Source organism: Homo sapiens, chromosome 4 (genome assembly GCF_000001405.40).
Source record: "Homo sapiens chromosome 4, GRCh38.p14 Primary Assembly".
NCBI classification, from domain to species: domain Eukaryota; kingdom Metazoa; phylum Chordata; class Mammalia; order Primates; family Hominidae; genus Homo; species Homo sapiens.
Genome location: NC_000004.12, coordinates 141,205,109 through 141,220,342, shown reverse-complemented (window position 1 = coordinate 141,220,342; position 15,234 = coordinate 141,205,109). Strand labels below are relative to the sequence as shown.

Sequence of the window (15,234 nt, the reverse complement as noted above, 5' to 3'; positions counted from 1 at the left end):
CCTTTGCATAGCCGACCAAGCTGGGTTTCCTAATCTCTTTCGGAGCTCTGCCGCACTTAGGATTCAGTACCAGGCCTATTCCTGTGCTTTTCCTGCCCTCCCCCTGCAGGAGATAAAAGCCTCTTTATTTGGACCAAAGAGGCCTTCTGGAATTTACTCTTAGATTTTGATAGCCAATTAACCATCTCAGCCTTTTGCTATTTTCAAAGAATCAATTTTACTTAGCAATAACAGTCAATGCCACTGTCATTAAGGTTACTATTTCCCTCATAGTTCTCAAATGCCTGATACATTTTACCTACTCGTATATAAATTAGAATACCACCCCAGTTACGTTAGAATACCACCCCAGTTTCATTACTGATGAAAGTTGTAACTATTGCACTGTTACCTTGTGCCGAGGTCTGTGTGTCCTACACCTACCACCGAGGGGGTCCTCATTGATAGTCACATGGCCTGTGATTCGAATCATAAATCCCATCTTAGCCTAACTTGAACCACTCCTGACACCAACTGTTTTAGGTTGGCTTCCCCAGGAAGCATACTCTGAGTCAGAGAAGAGTATAATGAGTATGTTAGGGAATGCTTTGGGGAACAACATCTGCAGGAGAAATGGAAGCAGGATTGAGCAGAGGGAAGAGTTGACCTGCAGTGACGTCTCAGTGAAGGCCTCGTTTTGAATCTGGGATATCCCTTCAGAGTTGTCTTGAGTTAGGGGAACTGGGCTGGACCTTTATACACCTATGACATTTAGTCACTGGATGAACGCTGCCAAAGGAGAAGAGTGCAACCTTGGGTTAAAGGACTCCTGAAGATGGCCAAGAGCTGGATTGTGTTGGCTTGCTGCACTCTCAGCAGCTCAGGAAATAAGTCTTTCATTGAGGAAGAGGGATCTGGGTAGTGCCTGCCAGTATTCACTACCAAGAGTGATGGCAAAATAAATATTCTGACAAAGACAAAGAACCTTTACTATTCACAGATACTCAGTGAAAGAATTTCAAAGGGCAGTCTTCACAAGATGAAAATGGAATTTAAAAGGCAGGAGGGAATACAAAAAGTAATAATAATCAATTTATTTAATATATAGGGTAAATCTAAAACATTATATAAAACGACAAAATTATAATAAGCAATTTGGGATATGAAAATTATAAGGAACTGAAATATTCTATAAATTCAATGCAATTCAAATCAAATCCTCATATAGATTTTTTTAATGGAATTTGGTTAATTGCTCTCTCAAATTCATAGGAACAATTAAAGATTGAAAAGCCCAGACCATTTTAGTTATACAAGCAGAAGGATACTTTTATTTATTATAAAGCTCTAGTAATTAAAACAATATTGCATAGTTTCAGGTGTCAGCAAATAGACAAATGCAACTGAATAGAAAGCCTAGATACAGACTCACATACATTTGGATATTTGGCAAATGGTATGGGTTGCATTAGCATCAGTAAGAAGACAGGTATTATTCAATAAATGAGGCAAAGACTATTGGCGATCCATATGGAGGAAGATAAAATTAGATCCCTATTAACAGCACATATTTAATAAGTCCTAGGTGGAAGGACCTAAATATACAAAGCAAAAATAAAACTATTTTAAGAAAACATAGGAGAATGCCTTTATGATATTAAAGTAGAATGATTTATTAAGACACACACAAAAAAACAAAAAATTTAATGAACAATGAATTCAATAAAATTTAAAAACTTCAGGATGATTAAAGACATAAAGTAAAAAGGCAAATGAAAATGAGGGGAATGAATTTTGACACCCATGTAACTGACAAAAGATTTATATACAGAATAAATGACACCCATAAGATTGTCCAAAATGTAAAAGCCTGGCAGATCAAAGTATTGGTGAAAGGCGGATAAACAAATTTTAAGCAATTCTACTGGGAGTATAAATGTTAAACCTGTTTTGGAGAACCACATGGCAATGTTAAGTAAACGTAAATATGTGCAAAACTAAAGATTCAACCATTGTCCTTCTAGGTTTCTACCATAAGAAATTTGCGTACAAATATACAATGATACCATAGCACAGTTCAACAGCAAAAATTTTTAAGCAACCTATCTTTTATTAGGAAAAGGAACAAATTGCATGCTATCTATATAGCAATTAAAATTCATAGACTTTATAAGCATCAATATGGACTAATTCCTAAATTTGGGGGAGATATTTGGTGAAAAATCAAATTGGAATGCCGCATATGTAAAACTGTAAAGCAAAAATCAGTTGTATACATTATCATTTACGAATACACACACACACACACACACACACACACACACACACACACACACACACATACCTTGTAAAAGTACCAAAAGATGCCTGGAAATGTTACTAACTTCAGATTATGGTTACCTCTGGAGAGGGAAGAAAAGATGTATGATGTGGAGTGTTAGCCATACTTTTAGTTTTCAGAACAATACTAATTTTAAAACATATATATTAATAATCCTCAACAGCCACCAGAATGGCTAAGATTAAAAGACTGGCAATACCAGCGACCAAGTATTTATTGGTAAAGACGTGGAGTTACTGGAACTCTCATCCAGTTTTGGGGGTTGTAAATGGACTACCACTTTGAACATTATTTAGCTTCATGTGTTAAAGGATATATATATATATCTCCAAAATGCATACCTGTATTTACTACAATATATGTAAAATAGGCCAGGCATGGTGGCTCACGCCTGTAATCCCAGCACTTTGGGAGGTGGAGGCAGGTGGATCACCTGAGGTCAGGAGTTCGAGACTAGCCTGGCCAATATGGTGAAACCCGTCTCTACTGAAAATACAAAAATTAGTCAGGTGTGGTGGCAGGTGCCTGTAATCCCAGCTACTTGAGAGGCTGAGACAGGAGAATTGCTTGAACCTGGGAGGCTGAGGTTGCAGTGAGCCGAGATCCTGCCATTGCACTCCAGCCTGGGCAACATGAGCAAAACTCCATCTCAAATAAAATAAAATAAAAAATATATACGTAAAATAGTATTTATGGTAGCACTATTTGCAACATCTCCAAAACTATAAACAACCCAATTATCCCTTAACAGGAGAATGAATGAATGGTGACATATTCATATAATAAAATATTAATATTATACACTAACAAGAGTGTACAAACTACAGTCTCACATAACAATATGGATGAATGTCACTAACATAATGTTAAGCAAACAAATCTCACAAAGAAAAAAAGAACACCATGATTTAATTAAATAAAGTTTAAATATAGTCAAAATTAATCTGATTAGAAGTCAGGATAGAGGTTACCTTTGGGTGAAGGTAGTGACTTCAAAGGCTCACAAGCAGAGTTTCTAGAGTAAAGGTAATGAAAACATCCTACTTATGATGACTGTGTTCAATCTGTGACCTTTCATCAATCTGTATTATAATTTATGTAATTTATGCATGTTTCATTTTGCTACAAGGTTTTAAAAGAAATCTTAAAATAGAGGCAGGAAAGTATGGATGAAAGTCTTAAAATAAGCCATCTATAGCAGTTCTTCCCAAACACTTACTTGCTGTGACATAAATAGAAAATAATACAGGTCACACAGGGAAAAACAGGACAGGTCTGTTTATTATGAAAGGTGACTCTGTAATTTTCTTCCCCTTTTCATTTTTTTTCTTTTTGTGGAAAGGTAAAATCTTTGTTCATTTATCTTTCTGAAAAGTATTCTTTACTTGACAGGCACTTCTCACATATTATTCTTAGAAGCAAGAGGATTTTTTTCATTTCTGGGCCCTGACTCAGGTCCAGCCACACTTGTGCCCTACTGGCAGCACACAAATGTTCCAGGACATTTTGGAGAGCTCTGGAATATAGGACTCTTTAACTTGCCCATTTAAGTGTATCTCAGTTTGGCTTTCTTTCAGGAATTAAAGTTTGTTTATTTCTGCAAATAATTCCTTTTCTAATGCTATCTGCTGTGTGTGTGTGTTTGTGTGTGTGTATACACATATGTATATGTATATATAATGCAATATTCTTCAGCCTCTAAAAAGGAGGAATTTCTTCTTTTTATTAAATAAATAATTCCTGACATACACAACAACCTGAAGAACACTTAAGAACATTATGCTGAGGGAAATAAGCCAGACACAGGACAAATACTACAAGCTTCCACTTATATGTGGGTATCTAAAATAGTCAAACTCATAGGAGCAGAGAGTGGAATGGTGGTTGCCAGCGTCTGCGAGTAAAGGGGAAATGGAGAGGGGCTAATCGGCAAAAAAATTCAGTTACGCAAGATAAATAAGTTCTACAGACCTACAGCATTGTTCCTAGAAATGACAATACTGTGCTGTGCGCTTAAAAATCTGTTTAGAGGGCAGCCCTTCTGTTAAGCATTCTTGCCACAATAAAATTTTAAAAAACTTCTAGCTCATAAAAGCACTTCCTAAATCCAGACACCTATGTTGTCCATCTTTTGAGCACTCCACAAATAATAATTGTGGTTCGTAAAATAACTGCATAATAGATTTCATCTCAGTACCTTTAAAGCATCACGTTTAGACTGATAAATGATCTTTTAACAAATGGTTTGTATATTTTGGGAAAACCTTATATTGCTCATAACTGTCTAGCAACTTATTTCTCCTTTTTATCCTAGTTATCACACCCTATTATCCACTGGACCTATATATCATAAGGAAGACTCTGAGTACCTCTTTTTACCAATTAGCTTTGGGGAAAGGAGAAGGATTTCTAAGTTTCCAATACCTGCATAGCCCTTTATAGATTACTAAGGTTTTCACATTCATTACTACATTTAATATCAATAAAAACTCTATTGTAAAATAGTTATTTCTTCAGTTTACAAATAGAAAGCTGAAAATTAGTTTCATCTGTTGACAAAATGGGTTTTCAAAACTGAATACATCATCATTCCCCCAAAACTGATGCCTCTTTCTTGCTGTCTTAACTCAATGAACAAAGGGCACTAATTCATCTGTTGAAGCCAGAAATCTTGGAGTCAATCCAGACACTTTCATCTTTCTAACCTATCAGTCTAATCCCTAAGTGTTTGTAACATGACCTCCAAATTATCTGTCAAGTACATTTCCTCAACAAAGTCCAGATCTCTATTTCTGGTAAGATGTCTGGAGAAATTCTGTAACAATAGAGCACACATAACACTGGATAAAACAAAACAAAAGCAAAGAGATCAAAGACATTTTCCAGTGCATGACCAAAGTGGCAGGAAAATGGTAAAAGTTCAAGGAGACCAGAAGGACTCAGTAAGTAGGAATCCACACAGTAAGCAAGCTCTGGAGCTGGCATTTGGCTGGGACCATCTGAAAATCCCCAGTGAACTAGAACTTGGATTCTACTGAGAAATTTGTACACTGATAATATTGTGTCCGGAATTGGTGGGTTCTTGGACTCGCTGCTGACTTCAACTATGAAGCTGCGGACACTCGCAGTGAGTGTTACAGTTCTTAAAGACGGTGTGTCCAGAGTTTGTTCCTTCTGATGTTCGGACATGTTCGGAGTTTCTTCCTTCTGGTGGGTTTGTGGTCTCGCTGGCTTCAGGAGTGAAGCTGCAGACCTTTGCTGTGAGTTTTACAGCTCTTAAGGCAGCGCGTCTGGAGTTGTTCATTCCTCCCGGTGGGTTCGTGGTCTTGCACCTTCATAGTGAGTGTTACAGCTACAGCTCATAAAAGCGGCGCGGACCCAAAAAGTGTGCAGCAGCAAGATTTATTGCAAAGAGCGAAAGAACAAACTTCCCACAGCGTGCAAGGGACCCCAGCAGGTTGCCACTGCTGGCTCAGGCAGCCTGCTTTTATTCCCTTATCTAACCCCACCCACATCCTGCTGATGGGCCCATTTTACAGAGAGCTGATTGGTCCGTTTTACAGAAAGCTGATTGGTCCGTTTTGACAGGGTGCTGATTGGTGCATTTGCAATCCTCTAGCTAGACATAAAAGCTCTCCAAGTCCTCACCAGATTAACTAGACACAGAGCACTGATTGATGCGTTTACAAACCTTGAGCGAGACACAGGGTGCTGATTGGTGTGTTTACAAACCTTGAGCTAGACACAGAGTGCTGATTGGTGTATTTACAATCCTTTAGCTAGACATAAAGGTTCTCCAAATCCCTACTAGATTAGCTAGATACAGAGTGCTGATTGGTGCATTTACAATCCTTTAGCTAGACACAAAAGTTCTCCATGTCCCCACTAGATTAGCTAGACACAGAGCACTGATTGGTGCATTTACAAACCTTGAGCTAGACACAGAGTGCTGATTGGTGCCTCTACAATCCTCCAGCTAGACATAAAAGTTCTCCAAGTCCCCACCAGACTCAGGAGCCCAGCTGGCTTCCCTAGTGGATCCCACGCTGGGGCCGCGGGTGGAGCTGCCCATCAGTCTTGAGCTGGGTGCCTGCACTCTTCAGCCCTTGGGCGGTGGATGGGACTGGAGACGGCGGAGCATGGGGTGGCGCCTGTCGGGGAGGCTAGGGCTGCGTGGGAGCCCACCGCAGGGGGCTCAGGCATGGCAGGCTGCAGGTCCCGAGCACTGCCCCGGGGGAGGTGGCTGATGCCTGGTGAGAATTTGAGCTCTTCACAGGCCGTCCGGCAGTGTTGGGGGACCCAGCGCCTCCTCCGCAGCTGCTGGCCAGGGTGCTAAGCCCCTCACTGCCCGGGGCGGTGGCGCCAGCCTGCAGCTCCGAGTGCACTGCCTGCCAGGTGGGCCGGTGGGCCTGCCGAGCCAGCGCCCACCCAGAACTTGCACTGGCCCGTGATCGCCAGGCGCAGCCCCAGTTCCCGCCCACGCCTCTCCCTCCACACCTCCCTGCAAGCAGAGGGAGCAGGCTCTGGCCTCAGCCAGCCCAGAGAGGGGCTCCCATAGGGCAGCGGCCGGCTGAAGGGCTCCTCAACGAGGCCAAGGAGGCGTTGAGAGAGAGCAAGGGCTGCCAGCATGTTTTCACCTCTCAATATAGCTTGGCTCTGTGTCCTCACCCAAATCTCATGTTGAATTGTAATTCCCAATGTTCCAGAAGGGAGGTGATTGGATTATGGGGTCGGATTTTCCCCTTGCTGGTCTCATGATAGTGAGTGAGTTTTCATGAGATCTGATTGTTTAAAAGTGTGTAGCTGGCCAGGCACGGTGGCTCACACCTGTAATCCTAGCACTTTGGGAGGCCAAGGTGGGCGGATCACTTGAGGTCAGAAATTCATAACCAGCTTGGCCATCATGGTGAAATCCCTTCTGTACTAAAAATACAAAAAATTAGCTGGGCATGGTGGTGCATGCCTGTAATCCCAGCTACTTGGGAGGCTGACACAGGAGAATCCCTTGAACCCGGGAGGTGGCGGTTGCAGTGAGCCAAGATCATCCCACCACACTCCAGCCTGAGCGACAGAGTGAGACTCTGTCTCAAAAAAAAAAAAAGTGTGTAGCACTTCCTCCTTCACTCTCTCTCTCTCCCGCTCGGCCATGTGAAGATTGTGCTTGCTTTCCTTCCATCCCTTAGCCATAATTGCCTGTTTCCTGAGACCTCCTGTACAGCCTATGGAACTGTGAGTCAATTAAACCTCTTTTCTTTATAAATTACCTAGTCTCAGGTAGTTCTATATAGCAGTGTTAGAACAGACTAGAACAGCTGGAGACAGAGGCCCTGTGGCCAAGAAGAGTAGGAGGCTGTGTTGGAGACTCTTGCATAAAGCTGGGACCAACAGTGAACAACAGCCTCAGTGTAGAAACAAAGTTAGAAAAAAATCTTGCCACACAGAAGAAGCTAGTAGGAATGGTTTTCTGTGTTGTCTTTGTATCTAAGTAGGGTGGGAAAAATCAAAGATAAAAAACACCACAAGCGAATTCCTACCCACAAGCCCACCTTCAAGCATATGTTTAGTTTGTTTGATTTGAAGGTCTTCACTGCTGTATTCTGCAGTGGAATAAGAACAACAGATAAGAGGAAGCTGAAGAGGCTCAAGAATATCCATAAAGTTTGATGTCTTCGGTATGCAGTTACTAAGTCCCTTCTTCCTAGGTTTACTGAGAGGATTAAGTATGATGATACATATAAAACACCTAGCACAGTGCCTGGCACATGGGAAACATTAAGTGCTAAGTTCCTTTTGTTGCTACCCGGCTGTTGGAGATCCACAGCCCCCTGCTCATGGTTTAGCCTACTATTTACCTTTTAATCCTGCCTGCCTGCTCCTTGAGCCTATAGTCATCCAGTGGTCTCCAGTGGGTCCTCCAGATTATTCAGTGAGATATTGTCTTGGTAGCACCTGGAACTCTGGAAGCACTGAAGTGAGACATTTAAATCAGATTGAGTAGTTCAAGGTTATCCCGTGAAGCCTCAACTCAAAGTGGAGAAAGCATCCACTTTTTTCTAGTTTCCTCTTCTATTTATTTCTTTTAGTTAAATTCTATTCTTCTATTAAATTCTTTCCTTCACTTTAGGAATGATTATTACAACTCTGCCTGAGGATAGAACTTGAGATGGAATGAGGTTTTTTCAGTTGATTAAAATATTGACAGTAAAGATTATATAGCAAAGTCAAACTGCCCTATCTTCCAAACCTGAAAAGTCATTTACTGTTAATTTTGAATATGGAATGTGAGTTTTATCCAGTATGGCCATCTGGATGACAATAGTTACCAGATCTCCAAAAAAAAAACAAAGTAAGTTAAAATAAATGAAATAGTTAAGGGATAGTCAATTCTATTACTTTCCTTCTTAGCAACAAGTGGAAAAACAATGTATAAATAACCCTTAGTGCTTTTAAAGCAGACTCAACATAATACGAATTAAAGTACATTAATGGTTGTACTTGGAAGAAATAATAGGGCATTATTATAAATTGAATCAGATCATTTTCTAACTGGGAATGTAAGATGTGTTCATCATGAAAAATATCTACTATCAGATAATAATTATTGACTTAAATTATACTTTCATTTTCCTTAGAATGAGATCAAATTATAGCTTCAATGAGGTTTTCTTGAAATAGCAAGCGTAGGTGTATCTAATACCATCTGCTTCTGTAATTAACCACAATAAAGCCAAACACTTTAAATTATCAAACATATAAAATAAATGTGATTTGCTACTGTGATTTTTTTTGAAAACCTACTTAAAGTTATTTAGACACTAAGTAAACATTACATCAAAATCAGATACCAAATATATCAGTCAGAAAATGCATCCAAATATATGTAACTGAAAACCTAATTAATGATGGATTCAACAAGGTGGTTTTTCTTTCATATACAAGAAGTCCAAGACAAGGACAGTGATGCAAGAACTTTAGTACTGAAGTCTTTGGGATTCTTTTACCATGCTCTCAATCATAATCACAGTTAACTAACCTTTTAGGCAAGAAAATTGAGGAAGGGAAGAAAGGACAAAAGGACACACAAAAACAAAGTCAACCTCTGTCAAGAAGTTTTCCTGAAACTTCAGGCAAAGGACTATGGCCTCAGATAATTGACCAGAATTGAGTTACATGAGCATGCCTAGCTGCCAGAAAGACTGGCAAATGGAGGTTTTTTTTAGCTGGACACTTCAAGCCAGAATAAAATTGGAGTTCTGTTATTAGGAAGAAATGGAAAAATTGATATTAAGTAGGAAACCAGAAGTGCTGGCCACACCTTGATTTTTGGTAGTCCACAAGACAAGAAATTTCAAACTGTAAGGGTGACTTTAAAAAAAACAATGGGGCCAAATGAAAAACAATGTTTTTAAAAAATCCCTTCCAATACAAAGCAATTAGATTCTGTATAAAACATACTTTTTAACATGTTGCTTAGCTAATAGGAAGTAAGAAAAATCTCTTATCACCACTACCCTCTCCCTGGAAAAAAAAAAAAAAGCTGAAACTGCAACCAGCACATTAAATGTAAGCTAACATGTAAGGAGTGTGTTGTCTGAGGGCAAAATCAACGTCAGCATTGCAAAAAGAAAACTAAGCCTCTTGCCAGCAACCACTTCAAGGAGCTTAATCAGTGGTTCAGGTTCTAACCTGAAACCCCGAAGGTAACTAAAGTGGTCCCGGATCTGTGGTGTTCCCTGACTCCAGTGAGAAGCAAATATAAATACTCACTGGTGGAAAGAATTGTCAACTTAGGCCTCCAGAGTGTCCACAGATTAAAACCAGCCAAGCATGAGAGATCACAATAAAAGATCATCAAATACACATAGAAGTGGTCTCATAGAAAAACAAAACAAAAAACCTACAAATGTGATTCATCTTACCATTTCTAATAATTTTTCCACAAATAATTTTGGCTTTTATAATTAGACAATTATCTGTGACTAATGACCATTTTCGTTCTACTTTCTATCTCTTTATATCTTATTTGAATTTCTTGCCTTATTGATGTGGGTAAGACTTCCAATACAATAGTTAATAGAAACCATGACACAGAGCATCCTTGTTTAGTCCCTTTAAAGAAAATGCTTTTATTATATTGCCATTAAAATAATATTAGAAATTATAGGGTTCTTTTTTGTCTTTTAGGGATGGGGTCTTGCTATATTGCCCAGGCTATTCTCAAACTCCTGGCCTCAAGAAATCAGAGTTTTTTTTTATAGATACCCCCCCATTTTGGGTGGATGGGGAATTAAAAGTGTTACTTTCTATTACTAAGAGATTTGGTTTTAACTATGAATCCATGATGAAATTATGAACTCTTAATAAATTTAAAAAGACAAGCAACCCAATCAAAAAATGGGCAAAGGATATGAATGGGGAATTCACAGACAAGAAAACACAAATTGTGAATAAATACATAGTTATTTTTAGCCTCAATAATCAAGTAATTTCACACCTAATCACATACTCTAGGGAAACTTCTAAACATAGGTAGCAGGAAATATATGCAAAAATATTTATAGTAGCATAATGGAAAAAGACTGCAAATCAGCTCAACTGTTCGGCAGAAGACTGGATTAATAAACTGTTACATATTCACCTAATGCAATGCTATATAGTAGTGAAAAGTGAACTATAACAACATGCAGACTTGTAGACAAATTTCAGAAATAGAATAGCATGTACATATAGCATGTACAATAGTATATTAAACATACTATTTTGCATGTAGTAAATATGAAATACTTTTAATTATAACTTTTAATTATAACTCCAGTCCTCCCTTTCTTGGTGGGTGTCGGGAAACGCAATTTGCCTTTGTCCTTCAGCTGCATATTCTTGCTGTTATGCCAAGAATGCAAGGCCCTTTAGTTGGGCCATTGCTGAGATTTATATTTGCAGTGAGCAACCTTGAGGATTGAGGTAAGGTGTCTCACCAGACAAAGAACAAGCTTGCTTCCATTTGCTGAAAAAAACCAGTTAATTATTCAAACTTACTCTTCCTTGACTGTGATGCAAACCTACAGGATGTATAGTATCTGCTCTGGCCACTGTTGTCCCATGAATACTGAAATCCTTTGTCTCTGACCCAAGAGTCTTGTGTCTTCTGCCAGTATCCACAAAACAGTAGCAGGCTAACTTCAATCCCATGAGTGCTGAAGTCTTTTGTCTCTGACCCAAGAGTCCTGTGTCTTCTGCCAGTATCCACAAAACAGTGGCAGGCAAACTTGTTAGTCTGCAAGTAGTATCAAATCTCAGACTCTGTAGACCTTGACAGTGAGTTGGGAAATGAGAAAGACTTCAAAAGACCTTAACCCTGTTTAGTTACTAACTAGCTATCTTGACTTGGAGTATTCAGTAACCTCAATAGACTTTCCATTCCTTTGTAAAAAGAGCAAAATTGAAAAGGAAAGAATTAAGGTATAGCTGCTAGCATTCCATGATTCTGTATAAACACAGAAAAAATATCCTGACAGGGTGATGGCACTCATCCAGGTAGAATGGAGCTTGCAAAGAAGAATTGAAACTCTTTTGCAATTTCACTTTGTAAATGTCTGAATCTGAAATCGCTAAGTGCTTTGGTGGCTGGTGTTCCTTTTCTTTTCTTGCCTTTTTTTTTCCTTGCTTAATTTTCTGCCTATGGGTATCAATGCAATGGGAACAATGAGATAGAGGAATATGCTAGCCCCTCGGGGCCATATTTCTCCTTCTGTGCTCTTCTCTGTAGTACAGGGGCTGGAAGCCTGGGATCTGAGTTAGCTTCCACCAGTGAGAGGCAGTCACATGAGATTTGGAAAGCAGAACCGAGGAAGAAGCCATTATTCTTCTTCCCGCAGGGCAAGGCAGGAATACTGCAGACATGAAATTTTACCAGTGGCTTCCGGACATTCTGCTGATGATCACTTATTGTGATGCCACAGATAACTGAGATCATCAGTGGTGATTCCCTGTGATTCTTTCAACTTCCATATTTTGTGAGGCAGTTTTCCTGACTTTTGTTTCCTCAACGCTTTTTTTTGTTTTCTGTTTATAAAGTGCCTAGTATGTTGTGTTAAATCTTTCCTGCTTGAAATACCTGCAATGGTTTCTTTTGTCCTGACTAAACCCTCCTGATAAAAAGAAAGTAAAACGTTGAGAAAAGGCTACCCCAAGTATGTTTTAACCTTTAGTGGTAAAAATAGAACTTCTGATTAGAATCCATATCTCTATATGTTACTTTTCTATGCTGCCAAAACAAACTTAATGGCTTAAAACAACCCAAAATGTTTTATCTCACAGCTTCCGTAGGTTGGAAGTCTGGGTAGGCTTTCTCTTCTTTGGATTCCACAAAACCCAAATTATGATGTCAGGAGGGCTGCGTTCCTGATTGGATGTCGTGGAGAAGAATCCTCTCCGAAGTTCATATAGGTGGATTGTTCAATTCAGTACCTTGTGGTTGAGGGCTGAGGCTCTCGTTTCTGTGCTGACTGTCATCCAGGGGCTCATCTTTGCTCTCAGAGGCTGTCCACATTTCTTCTCCTGCTTTCCACATTTCTTCTCCTGCTTTCCATTTGACCCCCTCCAGGAACAGACTCATGGGGTCAAGTGTTTCCCACATTTCTCATCCCTCTGATTTTTTTCCTTCTGCTGCATCTCTCTAATTCCAGCCAGAGAGAGTACTCTGCTTTTAAGGGCTCATGCAATTAGATTGGGCCCAGATAAATAATCCAGTATAACCTCTCTATTTTAATTTATCTCTAATTAATCTGTGTGATGGTTAATATTAGGTGTCAACTTGATTGGATTGAAGGATGCCTAGATAACTGGTAAAGTATTGTTTCTGGGTGTGTCTGTGAGGGTGTTGTCAGAAGAGATTGACATTTGAGTCATGGGTGGGGAGAGGAAGACCCACCCTCAATGTGGGTGAGTACCATCCAACAGGCTGCCAGCATGGCTAGAACAAAGCAGACAGAAGAAGGTGAGACTGGCTGGCTGCCTTCTTCTTACCATGCTGGACACTTGCTTCCATTCTTCCTGCCCTTGGACATCAGACTCCAGGTTCTTCCACCTTTGGGACTTGCACCAGCAGCTTCTCGGGGGTTCTCAGGCCTTCAATCACAGACTAAAGGCTGCACTACTGGCTTCCTTGGTTTTGAGGCTTTCGGCCTCCAACAGAACCACTTACTGGCTTCTCTCTTCCCTGCTGGCAGACAGCCTATTGGGGGACTTTGCCTTGTAATCATGTGAGCCAGTTCTCCCAAATAAACTCACTTTCATATATACATATATCCTATTGGTTCTGTCCCTCTAGAGAACCCTAACTAATACAACCTGCAAAGTCCCTTTGCCAGGTCATGTAACACAGTCACAGGTTTCCAGGATTAGGGCAATCACACAACTGGGGGGGCATTCTGACTACCTATTATCTATAAAATTTTGAATCTATTGGTATCTAATTTATTTGTTATATTTTCTTAAATTGACATCCTCATTTGAAAGCTTTATGACCTGTCCTTGACTATGGCGGCAATCTTTTTGAACTTGGTGTTTTGGTTTGGGAACACTCTTTTTTTTTTTTTTTTTTTGAGATTGAGTCTCATTGTTGTCACCCGGGCTGGAGTGCAATGCTGCGATCTTGGCTCACTGTAATCTCTGCCTCCCAGGTTCCAGCAATTCTCCTGTCTCAGCCTCCCAAGTAGCTGAGTTTTCAGGCACCTGCCACCATGCCTGGCTAATTTTTGTATTTTTAGTAGAGATGAGGTTTCACCATGTTGGCCAGACTGGTCCAAACTCCTGACCTCAGGTAATCCACCTGCCTCGGCCTCCCAAAGTGCTAGGATTATAGGTGTGAGCCACCACGCCCGGCCAGGAACACTCTTTTAAATAAAAGAAGGAGAGAAAAGATGGAAGGAACTGCCAGTGCAAAGAGAGCAACGACAGCAAAGCAGACCCCAAGGTGGCTTTAGGAAGCAGGCACTGCAAGAGTGATCATGAGTGAATTTGGAAAAAGAGTGGATCATCTTATAGAGGGATCATCTTAATTATTTCATTTCAGAAACTGAAGATGCTAGATCCACTTTGCCCCTTATCAAGCAATCATAAGTGTTAACTCTTTTTAATTGAACAACCTCCCTTCTAACACAGGTGTGCGCACACATACACAAACACACATGCACTGACCAAAACTAGGAAATAGTTTATTAAAATTAATTTTAGCCAAATCCTCCTCTGAGATAGAGAGAAAATTTGGGATTGCCCCTTAGAAGCTAGAAACTAAGAGATTATTCTGTGGGATATGAAGGTATTGCCAGCTCTCTTTAAATAAACAAAATATGGGTTTAGCTTTAAATTGGGATAAAGTGTATTCCCTGCTATTTGGCACCCAAGAAGAAATATCTCTCATCATAATGAATACCCACTCATGAACAAACCCTGGAACATATTTGTGCTTTGATGTGGAACAAAAATATTCATTAGAAGAATGACTGGATCTTTTGTCCTGCCTCTGTAAATCCATCATCTATCTCAATAATAAAAACCATTTTTCCTCTCTAATTTTGCCTTTCCAAACCCAATTCTCATTCTCTTTGTTTCCTTTATTACCTGTGAAGCATAGTATAGAAAAGAAAGAATGAAACATGCAGAGATTTATAATAGCCTGAAAGAATCTTCTGTTTTATCATCTTAGGTCCTCAAGTTTATTTTTAAAAATGGGATATGAAAAACATCTTATAAACATTGTATGTGAATAGCTTATGTACCTGTACTAGATGCTTAGGGTATAACAATGACTATGAAAACTCAAAATGAGTTAATATGATTTCTTAATACTTGAGATTTATATAATAAAATGAATGCAGTGAATTTTAATTCTAGTTATTGGTGAAAACACATGC

At 39.6% G+C, this 15,234-nt stretch overlaps 1 protein-coding gene across 4 annotated transcripts in view; it reads left to right on the top strand.

Annotated features, from left to right (window-relative positions):
* The first annotated feature begins 7,442 nt into the window (after positions 1 to 7,442).
* RNF150 (ring finger protein 150) overlaps positions 7,443 to 15,234 on the top strand; it is a 353,094-nt gene continuing 345,302 nt past the window's right edge. For all 4 annotated transcript variants that reach the window (XM_047415998.1, XM_011532148.4, XM_017008475.2 and 1 more), the window contains exon 1: positions 7,443 to 7,549. The gene's annotated coding sequence lies outside the window, so the exon portion shown is untranslated. The remainder of the gene's footprint in view (positions 7,550 to 15,234) is intronic.